General features: G+C 48.8%; 2 protein-coding genes across 9 annotated transcripts, besides 3 other annotated features; one reads left to right on the forward strand and one right to left on the reverse strand.

The window, feature by feature from the left end:
* Positions 1,722–12,897, reverse strand: NT5C3B (5'-nucleotidase, cytosolic IIIB). 5 transcript variants are annotated; one of them, NR_033464.2, is made up of 9 exons: positions 12,744–12,897; positions 12,524–12,622; positions 11,868–11,937; positions 11,735–11,781; positions 9,057–9,142; positions 7,466–7,555; positions 5,455–5,617; positions 4,091–4,291; positions 1,722–2,322 (listed from the first exon to the last, which is right to left on the reverse strand). NR_033464.2 is itself a non-coding variant. In NM_052935.5 (9 exons), exons 1-9 carry the CDS (start codon positions 12,856–12,858, stop codon positions 2,188–2,190), a joined length of 903 nt encoding a protein of 300 aa, NP_443167.4. In that variant the 5' UTR covers positions 12,859–12,897; the 3' UTR covers positions 1,722–2,187. The 5 variants fall into 5 exon arrangements, 3 of the variants coding, with proteins under 3 accessions (NP_443167.4, XP_047291254.1, XP_011522578.1); NM_052935.5 differs by having other exon boundaries at positions 12,847–12,897; XM_047435298.1 differs by adding an exon at positions 12,253–12,347 and having other exon boundaries at positions 12,524–12,897.
* On the forward strand, positions 12,350–25,049 carry KLHL10 (kelch like family member 10). 4 transcript variants are annotated; one of them, NM_001329595.1, is made up of 7 exons: positions 12,350–12,519; positions 14,155–14,253; positions 14,592–14,791; positions 18,488–18,977; positions 21,791–22,408; positions 23,926–24,075; positions 24,598–25,033. In NM_001329595.1, the coding sequence occupies exons 3-7, from the start codon at positions 14,598–14,600 to the stop codon at positions 24,970–24,972; spliced, it is 1,827 nt and encodes a 608-aa protein (NP_001316524.1). In that variant the 5' UTR covers positions 12,350–12,519; positions 14,155–14,253; positions 14,592–14,597; the 3' UTR covers positions 24,973–25,033. The 4 variants fall into 4 exon arrangements, with proteins under 4 accessions (NP_001316524.1, XP_047291853.1, NP_689680.2 ...); XM_047435897.1 differs by lacking the exon at positions 12,350–12,519 and having other exon boundaries at positions 14,144–14,253; positions 24,598–25,049; NM_152467.5 differs by lacking the exons at positions 12,350–12,519; positions 14,155–14,253 and having other exon boundaries at positions 14,490–14,791; positions 24,598–25,049.
* Positions 12,381–12,490: a silencer, noted in NCBI's record as "silent region_8501". NCBI's record gives its function as "represses an Ori minimal core promoter by ATAC-STARR-seq in GM12878 lymphoblastoid cells {active_cell/tissue: GM12878}" and the evidence as "EXISTENCE:reporter gene assay evidence [ECO:0000049][PMID:35858748]".
* Positions 12,621–13,000: a silencer, noted in NCBI's record as "silent region_8502". NCBI's record gives its function as "represses an Ori minimal core promoter by ATAC-STARR-seq in GM12878 lymphoblastoid cells {active_cell/tissue: GM12878}" and the evidence as "EXISTENCE:reporter gene assay evidence [ECO:0000049][PMID:35858748]".
* Positions 13,421–13,500: an enhancer, noted in NCBI's record as "active region_12174". NCBI's record gives its function as "activates an Ori minimal core promoter by ATAC-STARR-seq in GM12878 lymphoblastoid cells {active_cell/tissue: GM12878}" and the evidence as "EXISTENCE:reporter gene assay evidence [ECO:0000049][PMID:35858748]".

The raw sequence follows: 25,060 nt of genomic DNA on the forward strand, positions 1-25,060 counted from the left end.
CATGGCCTCATTAGCTCCAGACAGCATGTCCCCAGGTCAGGGGCTCCCCATCTGGAGGTTTCCTGCCTGCCCTGGGCCTAACCTGGGGTCTTCGCTGTGGGAAGGGAGCCCTGCTCTGTGGAGGGGGTGAATGTGTAAAGAGGGGAGGCCTCCAGCAGGGTGTGGAGAGATGATCCTCATCCTCCAATTGTCCCCATTGAATGGGAAAGACAAGGTCCCTGACCTCAAACACAACCTACAAAGTTCAAGGATTAAACCACACAAGTCAGATTATCCTTTCCCATAGATCATTTCCAATACTATGATATTCCCATCTCTCCCTGCTCCTGGCCACCACCTGTTACCACCTGCCCACCCTTCTCCCTCTTGCTAGGGGAAAGGTAATGGAGTTCAGATCTCCACAGTGTCTTGCAGGAGGACTTCAGCCACCAACCAGGCCATCTGTCCTCGCTTGCCTGGTATGACCCGAGCATTGTGAGGACGGGGTGGTGACTTAGGAAAGAAAATGACAGGACTGGACTCATACAGCAAACTGCCCCCATCAGCACTTCTTGCCCAGGGTCCCCTAAGAGACGTGACTGCTCCCCACGGGCAATGACCGACATTCTCTGGCCCCGAAGCATCCAGAAAGCTCCCTGATTGAAGTCTTTTTTTTTTTTTTTTTGAGACAGGGTCTCGCTCTGTCACCACAGCGCAGTGGTATGATCTCAGCTCACTGCAACCTCCGCCTGCCAGGTTCAAGTGATTCTCCTGCTTCAGCCTCCTGAGTAGCTGGGATTACAGGCACGGGCCACCAAGCCCGGCTAATTTTTGTATTTTTAGTAGAGACAGGGTCTTACCATGTTGGCCACACTAGTCTCAAACTCTTGACCTCAAGTGATCTGCCACCCTGGCCTCCCAGAGTGCTGGGATTACAGGCGTGAGCCACTGCGCCGGCCAAGAAAGCTCCTTGATTAAAGTCTGGAAGTGGTTACTAACCCAGCCTCAGATGGTGGCCACTCCCTCCTCCCAAAAACGAATGGAACAGGCCTGAAGCAGAGAAATGCAGCAAAACGCATGGGCTTTGGTCAGAAACATTCAAATCCTGGCTCCAGCTCCTAGCTATGGAGTTTGGGCAAGTTACCCATCCTGCCTGAGCCATCTGGAAGCAGGAGGAGCTGCACCTACTTGTGGGGTCATTGTGAGGGTCAACTGGCAGGCACCCAAGTGCCCAGAGTGGCACCTGGGACACCGCAGGCCTTCAGTAACATCTGTATTACCTCCCGCTTCACATCTGCAGAATAACAGAACTTTCCAACGGCTAGCCGAACACTGCAGGAAGGGTGCTGGTGATTTCCTCTAAGGCTAAGAAAATGCTGAACTGGCTCTTCAGGGTCGGCCCAATAACGCAAGACCACAGTGCACACATCACTTGTTTCACCTTGGCACAGTCTCCCTCAGGTCCCTGCTCTAAATTCCCCTTTTCAGGTCATCCACTTTAGTGGCCCCGACCCATAAGAGGAGGGGAAAGGAGAGCCTAGGGCATAGGGGGACAGCCACACACGAATGCATCCCCTCAGGGATCCCTAAAGAGGGGGCTCTCAGACAGGGTTGCCTCAACCCCACCGATCCCAAATGAATTTCAAGTTTGATGGCTGAATCAGAATAAAGTCAAACCACTATAGGCTAGAACATACCCTTTCAGCCCCACGCTGAACCAGACAGACACAATCAGGCTGTGCTCGGATGGGGTCTCAGGCCAATTTGTGGTGGTTCTCAAACTGTGTTCCTAGAAGCATCCCATGTGCCCCCAGGGCCAAGAGGTCCAGGTTCTACCCCCACCCACATCCCCTGAATCAGAGCAGCTTTTTTTTCATTTTAAAAATTTTGATCTGTTTCACACATTATATTTGTTTGAACTTCCCATGTTTAAAAATTTTGAAGAAAATCCCTGGAGTAGACAATCCCTAGAGCACTGACATGCTGTGGTCCAAGGTTCACCAGGAACAGTGCCTGTGCCCTGCCACATGGCGGGGTTCCTTCAAGCCTCTGGTGATGAAGGTGCTCAGGGAAAGGAGGACGGAGGGGCGCGGAAGGACCCAGCCACTGCTGGCCACCCTGGCCTCTGCTCTGTGTTCACGGGGGAGCAGACTCTGGGGAGGCGCCCCTCCTCACCACGGCCTGCAGGCCGGGCTGGAGCCTGCGCCTTCAGGGGCCTTGCATCTCCAGCTGGACCCCCTGGCACAGGATGTGCTGCAGTAGCCCGTTGACCACATCCAGAGTCTCGTCCTTCTCCAGCACGATGTCATAGGAGTCCATGTAGCGCTCCCGCCGCTCCTCCACCTGCCCGGAATGAGAGGCAGAAGCCAGAGGGTCCCCAAATGCCCTGCCCTCCGTAGCTCACTCTCAAAGCCCCTGGGGCTGGGGAGGAGAGCATTCAAGCAGCAACTCCCAGCTCCCTTTTGAGAGCCAAAGGAGTTCAAGGTTACCGGGCCTACCCTTTGGAGACAGACGAGGGATGGGCATGGGCTACCACAATTAACCCTTGGGTCAATACAAAAGAACAGTAACAAGGAATAAAAACAAAAAACCAGATGTTGCCACTTTGGGAGGCTGAGGCAGAAGGATCATCTGAGCCCAAGAGTTTGAGACCAGCCCAGGCAACATGGCAAAAGCCCATCTCTACAAAAATTGGCCGGGCATGGGGGTGGGTGCCTGTAGTCCCAGCTACTCGGGAGACTGAGGCAGAAAGGATCACTTGAGCCCAGGAAATTAAGGCTACAGTGAGCCAAGACTGAGCCATGACACTCCAGCCTAGGTGACAGAGTGAGGCCCTGTCTCAAAAAAAAAAAAAAAAAAAAAAAAACAGATGTTGCCTCTAATCCATCTGGACTGAATTTCTTTCTTTCTTTCTTTCTTTCTTTTTTGAGATAGGATCTCACTCTGCTGCGTAGGCTGAAGTGCAGTGGCATAATCTTGGCTCACTGCAGCTTCAACCTCCTGGACTCAAGTGATCTTCCTGCCTCAGCCTCCTGAGTAACTAGAACTACAGGCATGCTAACCACACCCAGCTAATTGTTGTTGCTGTTGTTGAGACAGGGTCTCACTATGTTGCCCAGGCTGGTCTTAAACTCCTGGCCTCAAGTGATCCCCCTGCCCTGGCCTCCCAAAATAGGGGGGTTACAGGCATGAGCCACCGCACCTGACCACGACCCATTTTTTTTTTTGAGATGGAGCCTCGCTCTGTCACCCAGACTGGAGTGCAGTGGCGCAATCTCAGCTCACCCAGGAGATGGAGGTTGCAGGGAGCCGAGATCGTGCCACTGCACTCCACTAGGGGACAGAGTGAGATTCCATCTCAAAATAAATAAATAAAATAAAATAAATTTTATTTATTTTATTTAGGCTGGGCGTGGTGGATCATGCCTATAATCCCAGCACTTCGGGAGACTGAGGCAGGCAGATCACCTGAGGTCGGGAGTTCGAGACCAGCGTGACCAACGTGGAGAAACCCCGTCTCTACTAAAAATACAAAATGAACCAGGTGTGGTGGCACATGCCTGTAGTCCCAGCTACTCAGCTGCCTGAGGCAGAAGAATCACTTGAACCTGGGAGGTGGAAGTTGCAGTAAGCCAAGATGGCGCCACTGCACTGTAGCCTGCGGAACAGAGTGAGACTCTATCTCAAAAAAAAAAAAAAAAAGAAAAAAAAGCTGGGTGCAGTGGCTCATGCCTGTAATCCCAGCACTTTTGGAGGCCAAGGCAGGCGGATCACGAGGTCAGGAGATTGAGACCATCCTGGCTAACATGGTGAAACCCCGTCTCTACTAAAAATACAAAAAATCAGCCGGGAGTGGTGGCGGGTGCCTGTAGTCCCAGCTACTTGGGAGCCAGAGGCTCCCGTGAACCCAGGAGGCGGAGCTTGCAATGAGCTGAGATCATGCCACTGCACTCCAGCCTGGGCGACAGAGTGAGACCCCGTCTCAAAAAAAAATAAAATAAAATAAAATAAAAATAGAAATAAAAAAAGAGAATGTGTTCAAAGGCATTTGTTAATGGGCATTCAAAGAGAAGAAAGACATGAAGAGAAGCAGCCCTGGTCCTCTACCCACCTTGTCATTCAGGAAGCCAATTTTGAGAATGTTCTGCACACCAGGAACCCCATCGGCCATGGTGAGGTCCCCGATAGAGTCTCCCAGCAGGATGACATTGGTTTTGCCCTCAAGTTGCTGGAAGTAACCAGAGTTCTCACACGCAGAGCTGTTCTTGTTGTATGTGTGTATGAGCTGGCCCTTAAATCCCTGGAGAAAACCCTAAATAATGAAGACAAGAGACAGATGGAAGGGCTGCAGGGACCCATGTGGCACCAGCTCTCCACTGTCTCTGTCACAGAGAAAAGGGAATCCCAAAAGTGATAGATAATGCCAAAACTTCACTGTAGCCTAAACTACGGCCCATGGGCCAGACTTGGCCTGCTTTTGTAAATAAAGTTGTATTGGGATACAGCCAAACTCATTTGTTTACATGATGCCTATGGCTGCTTTTTTGTGCTATAAAGGCAAAGTTGGGCAGTTGCAACAGTGATGCCACAGCCCATAAAGCCTAAATATCGACGACAGGGCCTTTTACAGCATAAGTTTGTAACTCCTAGTTTAAATGAACAGGAGCCACCCAATATTGCAGATCATCTGTTCTGGTGGATGCACGAAGCTGTGATATAAATGCCACTCAGGTTACACATGTGCTAGTGCTCAGCTGCGGGCCACATCCTCACTGCAGGTCAACATGATGAAAATTCCAACCATCAGTTTTATGGGGAAAAAAGTCAGAACGTGGATGAGTTGGAGCAGCCCACCTCTGGCTTGGGAAAAACAAATCAAAGCCCAAGCCCTTTAGGACCCAGAATGGCACATAATAATATGACAGTGACATAGGGCAGGGCAGGCCCATAAATTAGGTACCCCAGGGCAGAGAGTTGACTGTCAGGCAAACACCAAAGAGAGAGGATCCTTTGAAAGTTTTTTTGTTTTTGTTTTTTTCTGAAGACAGAGTCTTACTCTGTCACCCAGGATGGAGTGCAGTGGTGTGATCTTGGCTCACTGCAACCTCTGCCTCCTGGGTTCAGGCAATTCTCCTGCCTCAGCCTCGAAGGAGCTGGGATTACAGCCACACACCACCACGCCCGGCTTATTTCTGTATTTTTAGTACAGATGGACTTTCACCATGTTGGCCAGGCTGGTCTCGAACTCCTGACCTCAAGTGATCCGCCCGCCTCGGCCTCCCAAAGTGCTAGGATTACAGGTCTGAGCCACCGCGCCTGGCCAAAAAGTAACCCATAAACAACTGCCTGAGGGTGAAGAAGCTAGAGTGGCTTCCCTCCCCTTCTTCCCCAGGTTAGGGTTCATGCAGAGTTAACTGCCCTGGCTGGTGGTCCCCACCCCTCGTCCTTTCCCAGCCCAAACAGGATTTGGCTCACATCTTCATTAAAATCCATGTAGTTAGACACGATGTGGATGTTGGGGTGGAACACTTTCATCTGTCGGATAATTTCTTCCAGGATATCACCAATGCCCGCAGAAAAGATGAAAAGGGGAATGTTGTTATGGTAGAGTGTGTTGAAGAAGGTCTTATATCCCTCCCTGAAAAGAGATGGAGGAATTCTGAAATGGCACTGCCTCTACTGCTGTTCTTTGTTTCCTATTTGGGTTGTTTTTTGGGTTTTTTGTGAGACAGGGTCTTGCTCTGTTGCCCAGGCTGGAGGGCAGTGGCACAATCACAGTTCACTGCGACCTCGACCTCCCGAGTTCAAGTGATCCACCCGCCTCAACCTCCCAAGTAGCTGAGACCACAGGTGCATGCCACCACACCTGGCTAATTTTTTTATGTTTTGTAAAGACGGGGTTTTCCTCTGTTGCCCAGGCTGGTCTTGAACTCCTATGCTCAAGCAACCCACCCACCCTGGCCTCCCAAAGTGCTGGGATTACAGGCATGAGGCGAGATCGCGCCACTGCACTCCAGCCCGGGCAAGAGAACAAGACTCCATCTCAAAAAATAAATAAATAAAATAGAGCATACGATATATTCAATAAGCGGTTAAAGTGTGCTAATCCTAAGTGCTCAGCTCAGTTAATTTTGACATATGTATACACCCATGTAACTAACTAGCTTGAGGCTCCCTCGTGATCTCTCCCAGTCAATATCATCCCTCCCATTGATTAGCTTTGCCTGTCCTTGAACTTCATATAAATAGACTCATACACAATGTACTCTTTTGTGCCTGGCTTATTTTGTTCAATATAATCCTATGTAGTTTATCTATATTTTGCATGTAATGAGTTTATCCTTTGTCACTGCAATGCAGCATTATTCCACCATATAAATATGCCACAATTTATCTACCCAGCTTCTCCTTGATAGACAGTTGAGAGATTTCCAGATTTCAGCTGTTATGGATACAGCTGCCATGAATACCCTGTGCATGTCTTATAGTGGCTACATGCCCTCATTCCTCTGGGGTACATACCTGGGAGAGATGCTGTTGTGGTGGAAGGTAGGCATATGTTTTCTGTTGCTGTCCATACAACCAGGAAGCTAACCTGGGCACCTTCACTAGGGTACAAACACTCCCACCCCGGCACTTACTGGGTCACACATCTCCACTGTCTTGACTTTTCAGGAGCTAGCCAATCTCCCCAATTAGGATGCACAACCCTTGAGGGCAGGCACCCATGTCACTCCTTCCTTTATGAGGATTTCTTTCCTCCAGAAAAGAAATCTCCAGCAGAGACAGCTGTTCAGTGAAGGCCGCCAACGATCAAGCGTCCCAGCCTAGCCAACTCCCAGTCACCATGAAGAACACCAGTCACCAGACAGACCCCAAAAGTCTTTTACCATTGTGAAAAATGAGCTAGACTTGGCCGGGCGCGGTGGCTCGCGCCTGTAATCCCAGCACTTTGGAAGGCCGAGGTGGGCGGATCACAAGGTCAAGAGATTGAGACCATCTGGCCAACATGGTGAAACCCTGTCTCTACTAAAAATACAAAAATTAGCCGGGTGTGGTGGCGGGCACCTGTAATCCCAGCTTACTCGGGAGGCTGAGGCAGGAGAATCGCTTGAACCCAGGAGGTGGAGGTTGCAGTGAGCTGAGATTGCGCCACTGCACTCCAGCCTGGCGACAGAGCGAGATTCTGTCTTGAGAAGAGAAGAGAAGAGAAGACAAGAGAAGGAGAGAGAAAGAAAGAAGAGCTAGACTTGGTTTCTTCTCAGAGATAGTGCCCTGGCCATTTTGTACTACATCCACTACCTGCTGAATGTTTCCTAGCAAGGGTAAGAAATGCTTTAGCTGTATCACATCAGTTGTTCATAGTGCCATGTCCCTTCCGGTCCTTTAAGCAACTAACTGCTCTCTACTCTTCCCCCGCCTCCTTTTTTTGAACAAAACATTCTAAATAGTCTGATAGAAATGTTTTCCAGAGCAAGACGCTTACCTGAGCATTGCATTGGACTCTCTAACCACCTGGGCTATCTGAAACTTCTGAATCTTCTGCTGACATAGGAGATTGTGTGCTTTGGTCCACCTAGAAACAGACACCCCAGAAAACCCCAAATTCAAATCACTGAAGTAAATAACTCACCCTTTCCCTTTACAGAGCCAAGTACCCTCTGACAGCATTGCCGACAGAGGCCTCATCCTTACGTTAGCTGCCCTTAAAAGGAAGAGGGTGGCCGGGCACAGTGGTTCATGCCTATAATCCCAGCACTTTGGGAGGTCAAGGCGGGTGGATCACCTGAGATCGGGAGTTTGAGACCAGCCTGGCCAGCATGGTGAAACCCTGTCTCCGCTAAAAATACAAAAATTAGCTGGGCATGGTGGTGCACGCCTGTAGTCCCAGCTACTTGGGAGGCTGAGGCTGGAGAATCACTTGAACCCAGGAGGGGGAGGTTGCAGTGAGCCAAGATCGGGGCCACTGCACTCCAGCCTGGGTGACAGAGTGAGACTCCATCTCAAAAAAAAAAAAAAAAAAAGGAAGAGGATGAGAAAAGCAACCCAACAGAGACAAGTGCTGGGCAAGCTGACTGCTGAAGTCGGCACTCTTCTGAATCCCTTCCTCCGTGAACCCTCTATCTGGAGAACTGGGGCTCTGTCCAGTGATGATGATTGCTGTGGTTTGAATGTGTTGGAAACTTGATCCCCAGTGTGGAGGTGTTGAGAGATGGGGCCTAATGGGAGGTGTCATGGCGGCACCATCCTCATGAATGGATTAATGTCATTATCACAGATCCCTTATAAAAAGAACTCTCTTTCTCTTTCTCTCTCCCCTACTCTCTTTGCCCTTCCACAATGAGATAATGCAGCAAGAAGGCCCTCGCCAAATGCCAGCCAGTCCTTTGATATTGGACTTCCCTGCTTCCAGAACTGTGTGCCAATAAATTGCTATTCATTATAAATTACCCAGTCTAGGCTGGGTGCAGTGGCTCATGCCTGTAACCCCAAGACTTTGGGAGGCCGAAGTGGGAGGATTGCTTGAGCTCAGGAGTTGAAAATAGCCTGGGTAACATGGTGAGACCCCATCTCTACAAAAAATAGAAAAAATGAGCCAGGCACAGTGGCACGTGCCCGTAGTACCAGCTACTTGGGAAGCTGAGGTGGGAGAATCTCTTCAGCCCAGGCAGTTGAGGCTGCAGGGAGCCACGATCATGCCATTGGACTCCAGCCTGGGCAACAGAGCAAGACTCTGTCTCAAAAAATAGAAAAAATATATAATTCACCTAGTCTGTTATTCTGTGACAGCAGCACAAAACAGACTAAAAGTCACTTCCACAAAGCACTTATCCCCCAACACCAAGCGTCTTTAACTTATTCCAAGGATTCTCTGAGGGTCTCCACTCTAGCAGCAGCCACAAAAAGCCCTGGGTTCATCTGAAAAGTTGGTTCCAATAGCTGGACTAATAGTATTAAATTAAGCCCTCAGTGAAGTAAGGGAGCCTGTCATCTCATCAAGGGTCTGGAAAAATATGCCCCTCCCAGCCTACTCCATCTCAAGGGCCCAGAAGCTTTTCTCCACCACCATCACTCACCATTCCACCATATGAGGTAGCTTCTCCTTGACGGTCCGGTGTGGGTCGATCTCAATTGGGTAATAGTGGTGAAGGAGCGCTGTGAGCTGGGATATCCAAATGGGGAGAAAGGCCATTAGTCCATATCAAGTTCTTCCCAGCAACGTCCTACAGCTTAGTATGAGAAAAAAGTCACCTAGAAGAGGCAACTTCATGGCCAGGGGCGGTGGCTCACACCTGCAATCCCAGTGCTTTAGGAGGCTGAGGCAGGTGGATCACTTGAGGTCAGGAGTTCGAGTCCAGCCTGGCCAACATGGCGAAACCCTGTCTCTACTAAAAAATACAAAAATTAGCCGGTGTAGTGGCATGCGCCTTTAATCCCAGCTACTCAGGAGGCTGAAAAATGAGAATCGTTTGAACCCAGGAGGCGGAGGTTGCAGTGAGCCAAGACGAGATCACACCACTGCACTCCAGCCTGGGCCACAGAGTAAAACTGTGTCTCAAATAAAAAGAAGATGCAACTTCATCTAAGAGAGTGTTACATGAAATTTTCTTCAAGTTTTCCTTTGGGGACATGTCATTTATAAGACCTAAGTTTCTCTTCTCATATTATCTTCCAACATAATCGCTCAATACACTCACATTTTTACCCATTTGGTGAAGTCCAGGGAGCACCTGGATCCACAGAGCTGGTCATTCCTTTGTACTCACCCTGAGAGTGAGGTCTAAAAGTCAGCAATATGAGATTTTACTATCAGAGAAGAAGGGTACTAAGATTTTTTTGCTGTTATTAATTAGCTCAATTTTCAGGGCTTAACCAGTAAGAACTTACTTAATGCTGTGTTTCCCAGAATGTGGTCCACTTTCTCAGGTGATAGGTAAGAAAACTTTAGGGAATTCATGGAGAAGCGCTTTTCAACTCAGAAGTTTTGGATTCATTTTCATGTACAATTTTTTTTTTTTTTGAGACAAGTCTCACTCTGTTGCCCAGGCTGGAGTGCAGTGGCGCAATCTCGGCTCACTGCAACCTCCGCCTCCCGGGTTCGAGCAATTCTTCTGCCTCAGCCTCCCGAGTAGCTGGGATTACAGGCAGGCACCACTACGCCCAGCTAATTTTTTGTATTTTTAGTAGAGACAGGGTTTTGCCATGTTGTCCAGGCTGGTCTCGATCTCCTGACCTCAACCGATCTGCCCGCCTCAGCCTCCCAGAAATGCTGGGATTACAGGCGTGAACCACCACACCCGGCCTGTTTCTTTATAAGTTAATTACAATTTTTAAAAGCAGGCCAATTTAGAGAAAGATTTAGTAAAGGTGATATACAGATATGGCAAAAAAAATGAAATATAACTAGAAGACTGTACTTTGGGACACAGCATGTTGGTGGACAATTCCGTCAAAAGTGTCAATATCATGTGAATGCACAGCATCTATGTGTGTTTCCTCTAAGGTTTCCTTCTATGTGCCAAGACTTTGACACTCTAAAGGGGCTGTTCCAGGGATCATGTGTTACACAGAGCCAGTCCGTAACAGTGCCTAGTAAAAATGAGAATTGACCAAGTAAAGAATTTTAATACATGCATGATTCTCAGGAACATTACAAGATCAAATGGAATCCCTGTCCATCTGTTCAAAAGAAGATTAAATGAAAGATGACATAGTAACAAAGGCAGAAAACTTCTGAAATGTATTAAGATTCTCAATCTGTGTGTTTTTTTGGAGTGAGAACCTTTCTCTAAAAATCAGGCTGGGCAAGATGGCTCATGCCTGTAATCTCAGCACTTTGGGAGGCCAAGGCGGGCGGATCACCTGAGGTTGGGAGTTCGAGATCAGCCTGACCAACATGGAGAAACCTCGTCTCTACTAAAAATACAAAAATTAGCCGGGCATGGTGATGCATGCTGGTAATCCCAGCTACTCGAGAGGCTGAGGCATGAGAATTGCTTGAACCGAGGTTGCAGTGAGCTGAGATTATGCCACTCCAGCCTGGGCCATAGAGCAAGACTCTGTCTCAAAAAAAAAAATACACACACACACACACACACACACACACACACTAGAACCCAACAGAAGAATATAAATTTTCTTTTAAAAAGGCCAGGTGTGGTAGCTCATGCCTATAAGCCCAGCACTTTGGGGAGGCTGAGGAAGGAGGATTGCTTGAGCTCAGGAGTTCAAGACCAACCTAGGCAACATAGTGAGACCCCATCTCTACAAAAAATTTTTAAAATTAGCTAGGTGTAATGTTACATGCTTGTAGTTCCAGCTACTCAGTAGGGCTGAGGCAGGAGGATCACTTGAGCCTAGGAGGTCAAGGCTGCAGTGAACAAAGATCAAGCCATTGCACTCCAGCCTGGGTGATAGAGTGAGACCCTGTCTCAAAACAAACAAACAAACAAGCTCTGCCATTTGGCTGTATGACCCTGGGTAAGTTGCTGAACCTCCAGAATGTTCAAATCTCTTGTAAACTCTATAGCCAACAGTAAATATAATGTCCAGTTCCAACCATTAATCATCATATGTCCTGGCCAGTAAGGAAAAGCTGTCTTAATGTATTAAAACTAGACCCTCCTTAGCAAAACAACAAGTTTTTAAAAATTAATTTTCTAAGGTCTCTATACTGGAATCTTTGGTTCCAATCAGGAACCATTTGAAGTAGCAAATGACAACCATTTCTGAGCAAAGGACGGGAGCAACCCACCTCTTTCCGACACTCCTCACTGATGATCTTGCTATTATCCAGAATATCTGGAAAAAGAGAAAACTCCTTTTACTTGTCCCTTAGAACCCATCGTCTTGTCAAGCTCAACAAGGGAAGCTAGAATGTGACTTACTGTAAGAAGAAGGGCATCGCTTTCCATTATATGCAAACCTGCTCAAGGTCATGTCAAAATCAGAAATCACCTATAAGGCAAAAGAGAGATGATGCCTAAATAGGCACCAGAATTCTAGTGTGGCCCTGCCTCAGCCTGGGGGATGATTATGGAAATCAATACAGCTCAGTGGCCAGGATGTAGGCAAAGCCCTAGGGGAGTTACCGAGTGACACAGAGGGATAGAGGGGAAGTGATCCTAATTAGTACCCGTTAACCCTGAGGAAAACGCAGTCTCCTAGTGTGGGGGCAAGGGTGAATACTCAGGACCCCTCTGACTCCTTCAATATCAGGTCCCTCCTAAGAGATCTCTACCATTACGGCCCATCTGGACATCTTCAACTTACTGGGGAGCCGCTGGCTTGGGGAGGATAAGGCCCTAGGTACTGGTGTGGGCGCCTTCTGTCCAATTAGAGGAAGCAGCATGACCATATTGAGAAATCTGAAATTTGGGTTTTAGGACAGGCGAACCAACCCGCTCTCCTTCAAGCTCCCGGCCATTTCTTGGGGCAGAGAGCTAGGAGGGGTCCGCGGCAGAGCAAAGCGGGAAGGCCCAATGGGCAGGAAGCCTCTCCAGCCGCCCCCAGCCCGGCCGGCCCCCGCACGCCCCAGAGGTACCTGTAACCGGTCTCCGCCGCCCTTGCGGAGGGCGCCCACGATCTCCTGCACCCGCCCAGGCTGCCGCATCAGGACCGTGGCCTTCATCAGGGTGCTCACCTGTCCCGAGACCCGAGAGAACCACTGACCCCTGCGCCACGCTGGGCCCGAGGGGAGCCCGGGGCTCGCTCGGGCGCGCGTGTGAGGCGGGGCCGGGGTGCGCGAGGGGGCGGCTACTGGCCTGGGTGAAGCGGCGGTGCCTCGGTGACCAGCTGGGGGGCTCGAAGCGCCCCGGGGGTCGGAGTCCGGGCCCGCCCCACTCCGGACGCTTCCTCCCTCCTCACCTCCTCTGCCATCCCGTTCGAGGCCTGGTCGGCGGCTCGCGGGACAACGACAGCCCCGCGACCGCACTGCGCAGGCGTCGCCTCCCGCCTGGAGCCCGGGCGGGGGTTGGTGGGGCCGGGGGCGGGGCGGGGGTGGGGCCGAGAATCGAGCGGTCCCGGAGATGGCCGCGATCCGGGTGGGCTTGCCGGTTGCGCTAGGCAAACTGGAGGAGGGTTCTATTTATTATGAAGAGCAGGGTGAAGGTCCCAAGGTGTTGGGGTTACGTGGGTAGGTAGGGTTCTGCCACTCTTTGTGGAGGAAAAGCCTTGCCAAACGTGGTCATTTCCAGGCTGAAAGTTTGTGACAAAAACATGACTGGGGCTGGGCGCGGTGGCCCATACCTGTAATCCCAGGACTTTGGGAGGCCGAGGCAGGATGATCGCTTGAGCCGAAGAGTTCGAGACCAGCCTGGGCAATATGACGAAACCCTGTCTCTACAAAAAATACAAAAATTAGCCGGGCATGGTGACACGCACCTGTTGTAGTCCCAGCTACTCGGGAGGCTGAGGCACGAGGATCACTTGAGCCCGGGAGATCCAGGCTCCAGTAGGCCGAGATCATACCACTGCACTCCACCCTGGGTGACAGATGACACCCTGTCTCAGAAACAAAAACAGAAAAACCACACGGCTGGATGGGAGGAGAGATGAAGGAGCCATAAACTGAATTCTGTTAATCACCCAGAAAGGGCTCTGTTAACTAGGCCATTCCTCATTCCAGAAGAAACTGAGTGACTAACCCATCCAGCGGGCTGGGAGACCCGGGACAGCTTTCTGAAATGTAATCAGCGTTGGCTGGGCACGGTGCGGAGCACTTGTAATCCCAGCTATTCAGGAGGCTGAGGTGGGAGGATCACTTAAGCCCAGGAGGTCGAGGCTGTAGTGAGTTATGATCACACCACTGCACTCCAGCCTGGGTGAGAGAGCGAGACCCGTCCCTAGAAAAAGAAAGATTTTTTTTTTGAGATGGAGTCTCACTCTGTCGCCAGGCTGGAGTGCAGTGGAGCGATCTCGGCTCACTACAACCTCCATCTCCTGGGTTGAAGCGATTCTCCTGCCTCAGCCTCCCAAGTAGCTGGGACTACAGGCATGTGCCACCACGCCCAGCTAATTTTTGTATTTTTAGTAGAGACGAGGTTTCACCATGTTGGCCAGGATGGCCTTGATCTCTTGACCTTGTGATCCATCCACCTCGTGCTGGGATTACAGGTGTGAGCCACTGCGCCCGGCCTAAGAAAGAAATTTAATCAGTTTTACTTCTCCCTTCAGCCTCAATTGACTTGGATTTCCTTGAGTTCGGTGTCTAGGGAGCCAAGTGTTGGGCTGTGGAAGGTAGATGAATGCTCCAGGGATAGAGACCTGTATCAGGTGAGTAACAGGAGCTGGAATCAATAAACACTCAGATGGTGCTAGTGGTCATGGTTCTGTTTTGGGTTCAAGGACACAGAAGGAGGTGTGAGGTGGTTTTCAGCCTAAGTGGGGTGGTAAGGAGGGGAGAAGGAAGAGGACAAGTCCAGGAGGCAGTTCCAGAACCTGAGAGCACAATCCTGTGTGATCTCACTGCAGGGCCAGGATTCTGGAACTTGGGTTGCCTGATAGACCCTATACAAAAGATGTAGTAGGGAAAAGGAGCGACAGCTGGCTAAAGGGGCCCCCCACAACCCTCCCCGACACCCTAGGAAAGCAGCCTCTCTCCGCTGTCCCAGGGTGCCATGGAGATGGAGAGCGCGGCGGCCTCCACACGTTTCCACCAGCCTCACATGGAGAGGAAGATGAGTGCGATGGCCTGTGAGATCTTCAACGAGCTTAGACTAGAGGGCAAGCTCTGCGACGTGGTCATCAAGGTCAATGGCTTTGAGTTCAGTGCCCATAAGAACATCCTCTGTAGCTGCAGTTCCTACTTTAGGTATAACAGGGTTGCCAAATTCAGCCAAAGGGGTAATTGGGCTCATTTTGAGACACTTTGATCCATTTTCTGTTTCCCACCCCATCACCTTAACTTTAGGGACACTGTCAAAGCTCTGGGCTCCTTAAAAATTAAAAAAAAATTTTTTTTTTAGAGATAAGCTCTCATTCTTTCACCCAGGCTGGAGTGTAGTGATGCAATCATAGCTCACTGCAGCCTTCAACTGCTGGGCTCAAACAATCCACCTACTCCAGCCTCCCAAGTAGCTAGGTCTACAGGCACATGCTGCTACGTCCGGCTACTTTTGAAATGTTCTGTAGAGAGGGAGTCTCGCTATGTTGCCCAGGCTGGTCTTGAACTCCTGGCCCAAAGCGATCCTCCTGCCTCAGTCTCCCAAAGTGCTGGGATTACCACTGTGCCTGGCCAACTCTGGTCCAGGCAGGAGCTCCTGCCTGGCTCCTTTGCCTTCTGAAGAGGCATGACTAGGGTCAGGGCCTTTTTTCTCTCTTTTTTTTTTTTGTTTGTTTTGTTTTTTTTTTTCCTTTTGCTCTTGAGAGATCTGATTTTTGTCTTTTTTTTTTGAGATGAGTCTCATTCTGTTACCCAGGCTGGAGTGCAATGGCGCCATCTCGGCTCACTGCAAACTCCGCCTCCCCAGTTCAATCCATTCTCCCACCTCAGCCTCTCAAGTAGCTGGGATTACAGGCGCCTGACACCACGCCCGGCTAATTTTTGTATTTTTAGTAGAGACAGGGTTTTGCCATGTCGCTCAGGCTGGTCTCAAACTCCTGACCTCAGGTGATCTGCCCGTCTTGACCTCCCAAAGTGCTAGGATTACAGGCATTAGCCACCGCGCCTGGCAAGATACAATTTTTCTTTTTTTAAGATGGAGTCTCGCTTTGTCCCCCAGGCTGGAATGCAGTGGCGTGATCTCGGCTCACTGCAACCGCTGCCTCCCAGGCTCAAGCGATTCTTCTGTCTCAGCCTCCCGAGTAGCTGGAATTACAGGCTCCCGCCACCATGCCCAGCTAATTTTTGTGTTTTTAGTAGAGACGGGGTTTCACCATGTTGGTCAGTCTGGTCTCGAACACCTGACTTCGTGATCCACCCACCTTGGTCTCCCAAAGTGCTGGGATTACAGGCATGAGCCACTGCACCCAGCCTTTAAGGTCTGATTTTTCAACTGGATTTCAACCAACTATTGGTGGGCCAGGTGCTTTAATCTTTGATTCTCACCCAAACCAACCTTTGGGAAGGTTGGACATCCCTACTGGATTTCAGATGACAATGCCACTTCAGGGACCCCCCTGTACCCCTATCCCAATAGAGACCATTTCAAACAGGGTGATAAATTAACAAGGATTAAGGGGATGGGAAGGGAGATGAGGGGGAAATACCCAGGAAATATCAGAAGAAAAAGGGAGTTTGGGCTAAAACCATTGTAACCCAGGAGGTAGAAGGGCTATTTTGTTCATGAGCTGAAAATGTTTGAGTAATCAATTCCAATGAAGATATGATCAATGTGTCCTACCTGTTGCTAAAACTTCTCATTCAGGTAGACCACAGAGCAGAGTCCACAATTTATTTTTTATTTTTATTTTTTTGAGATGGAGTCTTGCTCTGTCACCCAGGCTGGAGTGCAGTGGCACAATCTCAGCTCACTGCAACCTCCACCTCTCAGGTTCAAGCGATTCTCCTGCCTCAGCCTCCCGAATATCTGGGATTACAGCTGTGTGCCACCACATCTGGCTAATTTTTCTTTTTTTTTTTGAAATGGAGTTTTGTTCTTGTCACCCAGGCTGGAATGCAATGGCATGATCTCTGCTCACTGCAACCTCTGCCTCCCAAGTTCAAGCAATTCTCCTGCCTCAGCCTCCCGAGTAGCTGGGGTTACAGGTTTCACTATGTTGGCCAGGCTGGTCTTGAACTCCTGACTTCAGGTGATCCGCCTGCCTCAGCCTCCCAGAGTGCTGGGATTACAGGCGTGAGCCAACGCGCTCAGCTGAGTCCAGAAATAGACCAAATAGTAATTGTTTTAGGTTTTTGCAGGCCACACAGTCTGTTGCAACTACTCTGTTTTTATACTGCAAAAGCAGCCTTAGACAATACTAAATGAATGGGTGTGGCTGTATTCCAATAAGATTATTTATGGACACTGAAATTTAAATGTATTATAATTTTCAGGTGTCACAGAATATTCTTTTGATTTTTTCCCCCAACCAGCGGGGCGCAGTGGCTCACGCCTGGAATCCCAATAATTTGGGAGGCTGAGGTGGGTGGATCATGAGATCAGGAATTCAAGACCAGCCTGGCCAAGATGGTGAAATCCCATTTCTACTAAAAATACAAAAAACCGGGCATAAATACAAAAAGCCGGGCATGGTGGTGGGCACCTATAATCCCAGCTACTCGGGAGGCTGAGGCAGAGAATTGCTTGAACCTGGGAGGCAGAGGTTGCACTGAGCCAAGATCAAGCCACTGCACTCCAGCCTGGGTGACAGAGCGAGACTCCATCTCAAAAAAAAAAAAAAGATTTTTTCCTCCAGCCATTTAAAATGTAAAAATCATTCTTAATTTGTGGGCAGCATGAAAACAAGAGGTGGGCCAAATTTGGACAGAGTCCATAGGTTTGCAGACCCCTGCTCTAGAGGAAGAATTTGATTTCTAAGACCACATTTCCTTAAACTTCTTAAAAAAAGGAAGCAAAAGCCGGGCATGGTGGCTCACCCGTGTAATCCCAGCACTTTGGGAGGCCGAGGCAGGCAGATCACCTGAGGTCAGGAGTGCGAGACAAGCCTGACCAATATGATGAAACCAGCCTGGCCAACATGGTGAAATCGCATCTCTACTAAAAAATACAAAAATCAGTTGAGCGTGGTGGCACACACCTATAATCCCAGCTACTCAAGAGGCTGAGGCAGGAAAATTGCTTGCACTCTGGAGTTGGAGGTTGCAGTGAGCCAAGATCATGCCATTGCACTCTACCCTGGGTGACAGAGCAAGACCCTGTTTCCAAAAAAAAAAAGAAAAAAAGAAAAGAAAACAATTAATAAAAAGAGAAGCATTCCTGTTCTCATGAAGTTTACCCCCTGGATGGGGAAACAGGCATTAAATGAGTAAAATGCATATCAAATCATCATAAATGCCTGGGAAAATAAGAAAAGGAAGATAAAAAGCAGTGAGTGGCCATTTTATTTTTATTTTTTCAGACAGAGTCTCGCTGTGTCCCCCAGGCTGGAGTGTAGTGTCATGATCTTGGCTCACTGCAACCTCCGCCTCCCAGGTTTAAGCGATTCTCCTGCCTCAGCCTCCCAAGTAGCTGGGACTACAGGCATGTGCCACCATGCCCAGCTAATTTTTGTATTTTTAGTAGAGACGGGGTTTCACCACGTTGGCCAGGCTGGTCTTGAACTCCTGACCTCATGATCCACCCGCTTCGGCCTCCCAAAGTGCTGAGATTATAGGCGTGAGCCACCACGCCTGGCCCAAGAGACCTGGGTCTTACTCTCAGTTCTAGATCTTAATTTCTCCATCCACAAGGTAAGAGTGACCAAAGTCAGAGTTCTTGGAAAGGTGTTCTTCTTGTCCACTGTATATAGCACATGCCTGCACCCCACTTTCTCAGACCATTTCCAATGTACTCACCTAACAGGAGAGAAATGTTTCCGTGGCTGCTAGTTTCTTTCTTTTTTCCAGAGCTTTGTTTACAAGTGGCTGGAACAACACTGAAAAGAAGGTATACAACATCCCTGGCATTTCTCCCGACATGATGAAGCTAATCATTGAGTATGCATACACCCGGACCGTGCCTATCACACCGGACAATGTGGAGAAACTGCTTGCTGCTGCAGACCAGTTTAACATCATGGGTATCGTCAGGGGTTGCTGCGAGTTCCTCAAGTCAGAGCTGTGCTTGGATAATTGTATCGGCATCTGTAAGTTCACGGACTACTACTACTGTCCTGAGCTGAGGCAGAAGGCCTACATGTTCATACTGCACAACTTTGAGGAGATGGTGAAAGTCTCGGCAGAATTTTTAGAGCTCTCGGTCACTGAACTTAAGGATATCATTGAGAAAGATGAGCTCAATGTCAAACAGGAAGATGCTGTATTTGAGGCCATTTTAAAGTGGATTTCTCATGACCCCCAAAATAGAAAGCAGCACATTTCAATTTTGCTTCCTAAGGTCAGTGTTCACTCTTGATTCATTTATCACAGAGAGATTGTCCTAAAAGCAAAATTCAGACATATGACAGATCCCAAGGCTGTATTTACATGTCCTTAGATAGAAGGCATCTACTATTCTCTGGAATTTTGCAACTGTCTTTTCCCTTGGCATTACTAGTTCTTTTTACCTAAGTTATATTCTTTGACCAAAATCCTTCCTGGTGGTGGGGGAAGAAGAGAGCCTTCAAAATAATTCTAGGTGGGGTGTGGTGGCTCACTTTGGGAGGCCGAGGTGGAGAATCACTTGAGCCCAGAGTTTGCCAGCCTGGGCAACATAGGTTATAAAATTTAAAAAGTATAAAATTTGGCCAGGTGCAGTGGCTCAAGCCTGTAATCCCAGCACTTTGGCCAAGATGGGCGGATTACCTGAGGTCAGGAGTTCGAGACCAGCCTGGCCAACATGGTGAAACCCCATCTCTGCTAAAATACAAAAATTAGCTGGGCATGGTGGTGGGTGCCTGTAATCCAAGCTACTCAAGAGGCTGAGGCAGGAGAATCGCTTGAACCTAGGAGGCGGAGGTTGCAGTGAGCTGAGATCATGCCACTGCACTCAAGCCTGGGTGACAGAACAAGACTCCATCTCAAAAAAAAAAAGAAAAAAAAATTATAAAATTTAAAAATTAACCAGGCTTGGTGGTGCATGCCTGCAGTTCCAGCTACTGGGTGGAAGGCTGAAATGGGAGGACTGCTTGAGCCTGGGAGGTCAAGGCTGCAGTGTGCTGTGATCACCTCACTGCAGTCCAGCCTGGGCAATACAGCGAGACCCTGTCTCAAAAAAAAAAAAAAAATTCTAAAGGGCTGAAATTCCTTTCAGCTTTTTTCCTTTCTATGAATTTCTCCATACCCAAGGTAGAAGTTGAATTAGAAATCATGGCTGGCACAGTGGCTCATGTCTTTAATCCTAGCACTTTGGGAGGCGGAGGCAGGTGGATCACCTGAGGTCAGGAGTTCGAGACCAGCCTGGCCAACATAGCAGAACACTCTCTACCGAAAATACAAAAATTAGCTAGGTATGGTGGTGCATGCCTGTAATCCCAGCTACTCGGGAATCTGAGGCAGGAGAATAACTTGAACTCAGGAGGCGGAGGCTGCAGTGAGCCCAGATCGCACCATTGCACTCCAGCTGGGCGACAGAGAGAGACTTGGTCTCAAATTAACAAAAAAAAAAAAAAAAATCTTAAGTATTGCACACAATTGTTGTCAGTTGGTGCTAATAAGCGTTATTTTACATATTAAGACATACTCAATTACTGAACAATTACCATGGTTTTTCTTGGTCTAATAGTACTGACCACTAACCAAGGAATGGGATTGCTCTCTGGCCACTTGAGGTGCCTTCTATCTAGCTCATTCTCAGCTTCCAAATGTATATATCACCTCCCCATAAATAAATAGTAAATAAATATTTATTATTTATTTATTTATTTTGAGAAGGAGTCTCACTGTTGCCCAGGCTGGAGTGCAGTGATGCGATCGCGGCTCACTGCAACCTCTGCCTCCCAGGTTCACGCCATTCTCCTGCCTCAGGCTCCCCAGTAGCTGGGACTACAGGCACCCGCCACCACGCCCAGCTAACTTTTTGTATTTTTAGTAGAGACGGGGTTTCACCGTGTTAGCCAGGATGGTCTTGATCTCCTGACCTCGTGATCCGCCTGCCTCGGCCTCCCAAAGTGCTGGGATTACAGGTGTGAGCTAGCGCCCGGCTGACAACTATTTATTTATTTTGAGACAAGTCTCACTCTGTCACCCAGGCTGGAGTGCTGTGGTGTGATCACAGCTCACTGCAACCTCCACCTCCTGGGTTCAAGCAATTCTCACACCTTAGCCTCCAGAGTAGCTGGGACTACAGGCACGCGGCACCATGCCTGGCTAATTTTTTTTTTTTCTTTTTTTTTGAGTTGGAGTCTAGCTCTGTTGCCCAGGCTGGAGTGTGGTAGCACGATCTCGGCTCACTGCAACCTCCACCTCCCCAGTTCAAGCGAGTCTCCTGCCTCAGCCTCCTGAGTAGCTGGGATTATAGGCACCTGCCACCACGCCCAGCTAATTTTTGTATTTTTAGTAGAGATGGGGGTTTCACCACGTTGACCAGGCTGGTGTCAAATGCCTGACCTCAAGTGATCTGCCCACCTCGGCCTCCCAAAATGTTGGGATTGCAGGCGTGAGCCACTGCACTCAGCCTGGTTTTTGTATTTTTTTTTTTTTTTTTTTTTTTTGAGACGGAGTCTTGCTCTGTGGCCCAGGCTGGAGTGCAGTAGGGTGATCTCGGCTCACTGCAACCTCTGCCTCCCTGGCTCAAGCGATTCTCTTGCCTCAGCTTCCTGAGTAGTTGGGATTACAGGTGCGTGCCACCACACTCAGCTAATTTTTGTATTTTTAGTAGAGATGGAGTTTTGCCATGTCGGTTAGCCTGGTCTAGAACTCCTGACCTCCGGTGATCCGCCCATCTCGGCCTCCCAAAGTGCTGGGATTACGGCCGTGAGCCACCTCGCCTGGCCCCAATTTTTGTATTTTTAGTAGAGACAGGGTCTTGCTATGTTGCCAGGCTGGTCTCAAACTCCTGGCCTCAAGTGATCCACCTGCTTTGGCCTCCCAAAGTGCTGGGATTATGGTGTGAGCCTCAAAATCGACTATTTAAACTGTGACTTATACATTTCAAAAACAAACCAAAATATTTCCAGCAATTCAAAGGCAGATCGAAAAATGGGAGTTAAGGATGTGGGATTTCCTGGCACTCTCACGTCACCTGAATGACTTTCTGCGTTTGCTTCTTAGGTTCGCCTGGCCCTAATGCATGCTGAGTACTTCATGAACAATGTTAAGATGAATGACTATGTCAAAGACAGTGAGGAATGCAAACCAGTCATCATTAATGCCCTAAAGGCCATGTATGACCTCAACATGAATGGACCCTCTAATTCTGATTTCACCAACCCACTCACCAGACCACGCTTGCCCTATGCCATCCTCTTTGCAATTGGTGGCTGGAGTGGTGGGAGCCCCACCAATGCCATTGAGGCATATGACGCTCGGGCAGACAGATGGGTGAATGTTACTTGTGAGGAAGAGAGTCCCCGTGCCTACCATGGGGCAGCCTATTTGAAAGGCTATGTGTATATCATTGGGGGGTTTGATAGTGTAGACTATTTCAATAGTGTTAAGCGTTTTGACCCAGTCAAGAAAACTTGGCATCAGGTGGCCCCGATGCACTCCAGACGTTGCTATGTCAGTGTGACAGTCCTCGGCAATTTTATTTATGCCATGGGAGGATTTGATGGCTACGTGCGTCTAAACACTGCTGAACGTTATGAGCCAGAGACCAATCAATGGACACTCATCGCCCCCATGCACGAACAGAGGAGTGATGCAAGCGCCACAACACTTTATGGGAAGGTAAAGGACCAGGGTGGGAGGGGAAGATGTGGATGCAAAGTACAAGACCAGAAATGATACTGCTCTTTTTTGGGGTGGATGGAAGACGCAGTGGCAGTATTCACTTTGGAGTACTCATTCTTTCTTCAATTGACAAGGTGACTAGTTGCAACTGTCTTTTATGTTGTTTATTGAAAAGTAATGCAAAGCCGGGCACGGTGGCTCAAGCCCGTAATCCCAGCACTTTGGGAGGCCGAGGCAAGCAGATCACTAGGTCAGGAGTTCAAGACCAGCCTGGCCAACATAGTGAAACCCTGTCTCTACTAAAAATACAAAAAATTAGCCAGGCCTGGTGGCGGGCGCCTGTAATCCCACCTACTCGGGAGGCTGAGGCAGGAGAATCGCTTGAACCCCGGAGGCAGAGGATTTCAGTGAGCCAAGATGGCGCCATTTCACTCCAGCCCGGGCGACAGTGCAAGACTCCATCTCAAAAGAAAAAAGAAAAAAAAAGTAATGCAGGCTGGGCTCGGTGACTCACGCCTGTAATCCCAGCACTTTGGCAAGCCGAGGCGGGAGGATCACAAGGTCAGGAGATTGAGACCATCCTGGCTAACATGGTGAAACCCTGTCTCTACTAAAAATACAAAAAATTAGCCGGGTGTGGTGGCAGGCGCCTGTAGTCCCAGCTACTCAGGAGGCTGAGGCGGAGAATCACTTGAACCTAGGAGGCGGAGGCTGCAGTGGGCAGAGGTTGCAGTGCTCCAAGATTGCGCCACTGCACTCCAGCCTGATGACAGAGCAAGACTCCGTCTCCAAAAAAAAAAAAAAGTAATGTGTAATGTGGCAGAGCCCAGTGTCTTGTGTTTGTAATCTCAGCACTTTGGGAGGCCAAGGTGGGCGGATCACTTGAGGTCAGGAGTTTGAGACCAACCTGGCCAACATGGTGAAACCCGGTCTCTACTAAAAATACAAAAATTAGCCAGGCACAGTGGCACACACCTGTAATTTCAGCTACTCAGGAGGTGGAGGTTGTAGTGAGCCGGGATAGCTCCACTGCACTCCAGCCCAGGCAACAGAGTGAGACTCCATCTCAAAAAATAAAAATAAATAGGCTGGGCACAGTGTATCATGCCTGTAATCCTAGCACTTTGGGAGGCTGAGAGGGGCGGATTGCCTTAACTCAGGAGTTCGAGACCAGCCTGGACAACACGGTGAAACCTCGTCTCTACTAAAATACAAAAAATTAGCGGAGCGTGGCAGTGTGCGCCTGTAGTCCCAGCTACTCCAGATGCTGAGGCAGGAGAATTGTTAGAACCCAGGAGGCGGAGTGAGCAGAGATGGTGCAAATGGACTCCAGCCTGGGTGACAGAGCGAGACTCTGTCTCTAAAAAATAAATAAAAAGCAATGCATGCACATACAAAAAAAAGAAATTCAGACTGTACAGACTGGAATTAAGTGCCCACTACCACCACACACATATCCTTTCTTTCTACTCCCTAGAGTGGGAATTTTAATAATCTTGGAACTCTTCACACAGGTCTACATATGTGGTGGGTTTAATGGAAACGAGTGCCTGTTCACAGCAGAAGTGTATAACACTGAAAGTAATCAGTGGACAGTCATAGCACCCATGAGAAGCAGGAGGAGTGGAATAGGCGTGATTGCTTATGGAGAACATGTATATGCGGTAAGTTTATCTAGTACCACACACACACAAAAAACACATTACCCCTAGATTTTGTATTAGTAAATGGGTTTATGCTACTATTGGTAAGTATTTGAAAAGCTTTTTTTTTTTTTGAGATGGAGTCTCGCTCTGTTGCCCAGGCTGTACTGCAGTGGCAGGATCTCGGCTCACTGCAAGCTCTGCCTCCCGGGTTCATGCCATTCTCCTGCCTCAGCCTCCCGAGCAGCTGGGACTACCGGCACCCGCCACCATGCCCAGCTAATTTTTTGTATTTTTAGTAGAGACAGGGTTTCACTGTGTTAGCCCAGATGGTCTCGATCTCCTGACTTTGTGATCCACCCGCCTCGGCCTCCCAGAGTGCTGGGATTACAGGCGTGAGCCACTGCACCCGGCTGAAAAGCTTTTTTTCATGGAAGATAATGGAAGAGGGAGTTATGAGATCACTGGTACCCCCAACAAGGGCTTCCTCAGTGAACAGAATCAATGGTTAGCAGTCAACCGTGTTTCTTTTGCTATCCACAGGTAGGTGGCTTTGATGGAGCTAATCGACTTAGGAGTGCCGAAGCCTACAGCCCTGTGGCTAACACTTGGCGCACAATCCCCACTATGTTTAATCCTCGTAGCAATTTTGGCATCGAGGTGGTGGATGACCTCTTGTTTGTGGTGGGTGGCTTTAATGGTTTTACCACCACCTTTAATGTTGAGTGCTATGATGAAAAGACCGATGAGTGGTATGATGCTCATGACATGAGTATATACCGCAGTGCTCTGAGCTGCTGTGTAGTACCAGGGCTGGCCAATGTTGAGGAATATGCAGCTAGACGGGACAACTTCCCAGGATTAGCACTGCGAGATGAAGTAAAATATTCTGCTTCGACAAGTACCCTACCTGTATGAGCCTCTTCATTTAGCTAATAAAAAGTCTAAGCAATAAGAATTAATTCTTTTTTTAAAAAAATGCAGTGTTTAAACTTTGAAGAGTACT

This window comes from Homo sapiens, chromosome 17 (assembly GCF_000001405.40).
Source record: "Homo sapiens chromosome 17, GRCh38.p14 Primary Assembly".
In the NCBI taxonomy this organism is placed as follows: Eukaryota; Metazoa; Chordata; class Mammalia; order Primates; family Hominidae; genus Homo; species Homo sapiens.

Bases quoted from the DNA above. Each gene is read 5' to 3' on its own strand.
- NT5C3B (NM_052935.5), bottom strand. The intron at 11,938-12,523 runs GTACCTCTGGGG...TTTGCCTTATAG, and splicing joins GCGGCGGAGACCGGTTACAG to GTGATTTCTGATTTTGACAT. The intron at 11,782-11,867 runs GTAAGTCACATT...CTCTTTTTCCAG, and splicing joins GCGATGCCCTTCTTCTTACA to ATATTCTGGATAATAGCAAG.
- KLHL10 (NM_001329595.1), top strand. From the start codon at position 14,598: ATGGAGATGGAGAGCGCGGCGGCCTCCACACGTTTCCACCAGCCTCAC. The intron at 14,792-18,487 runs GTATAACAGGGT...TCTTTTTTCCAG, and splicing joins AGCTGCAGTTCCTACTTTAG to AGCTTTGTTTACAAGTGGCT. The intron at 24,076-24,597 runs GTAAGTTTATCT...TGCTATCCACAG, and splicing joins ATGGAGAACATGTATATGCG to GTAGGTGGCTTTGATGGAGC.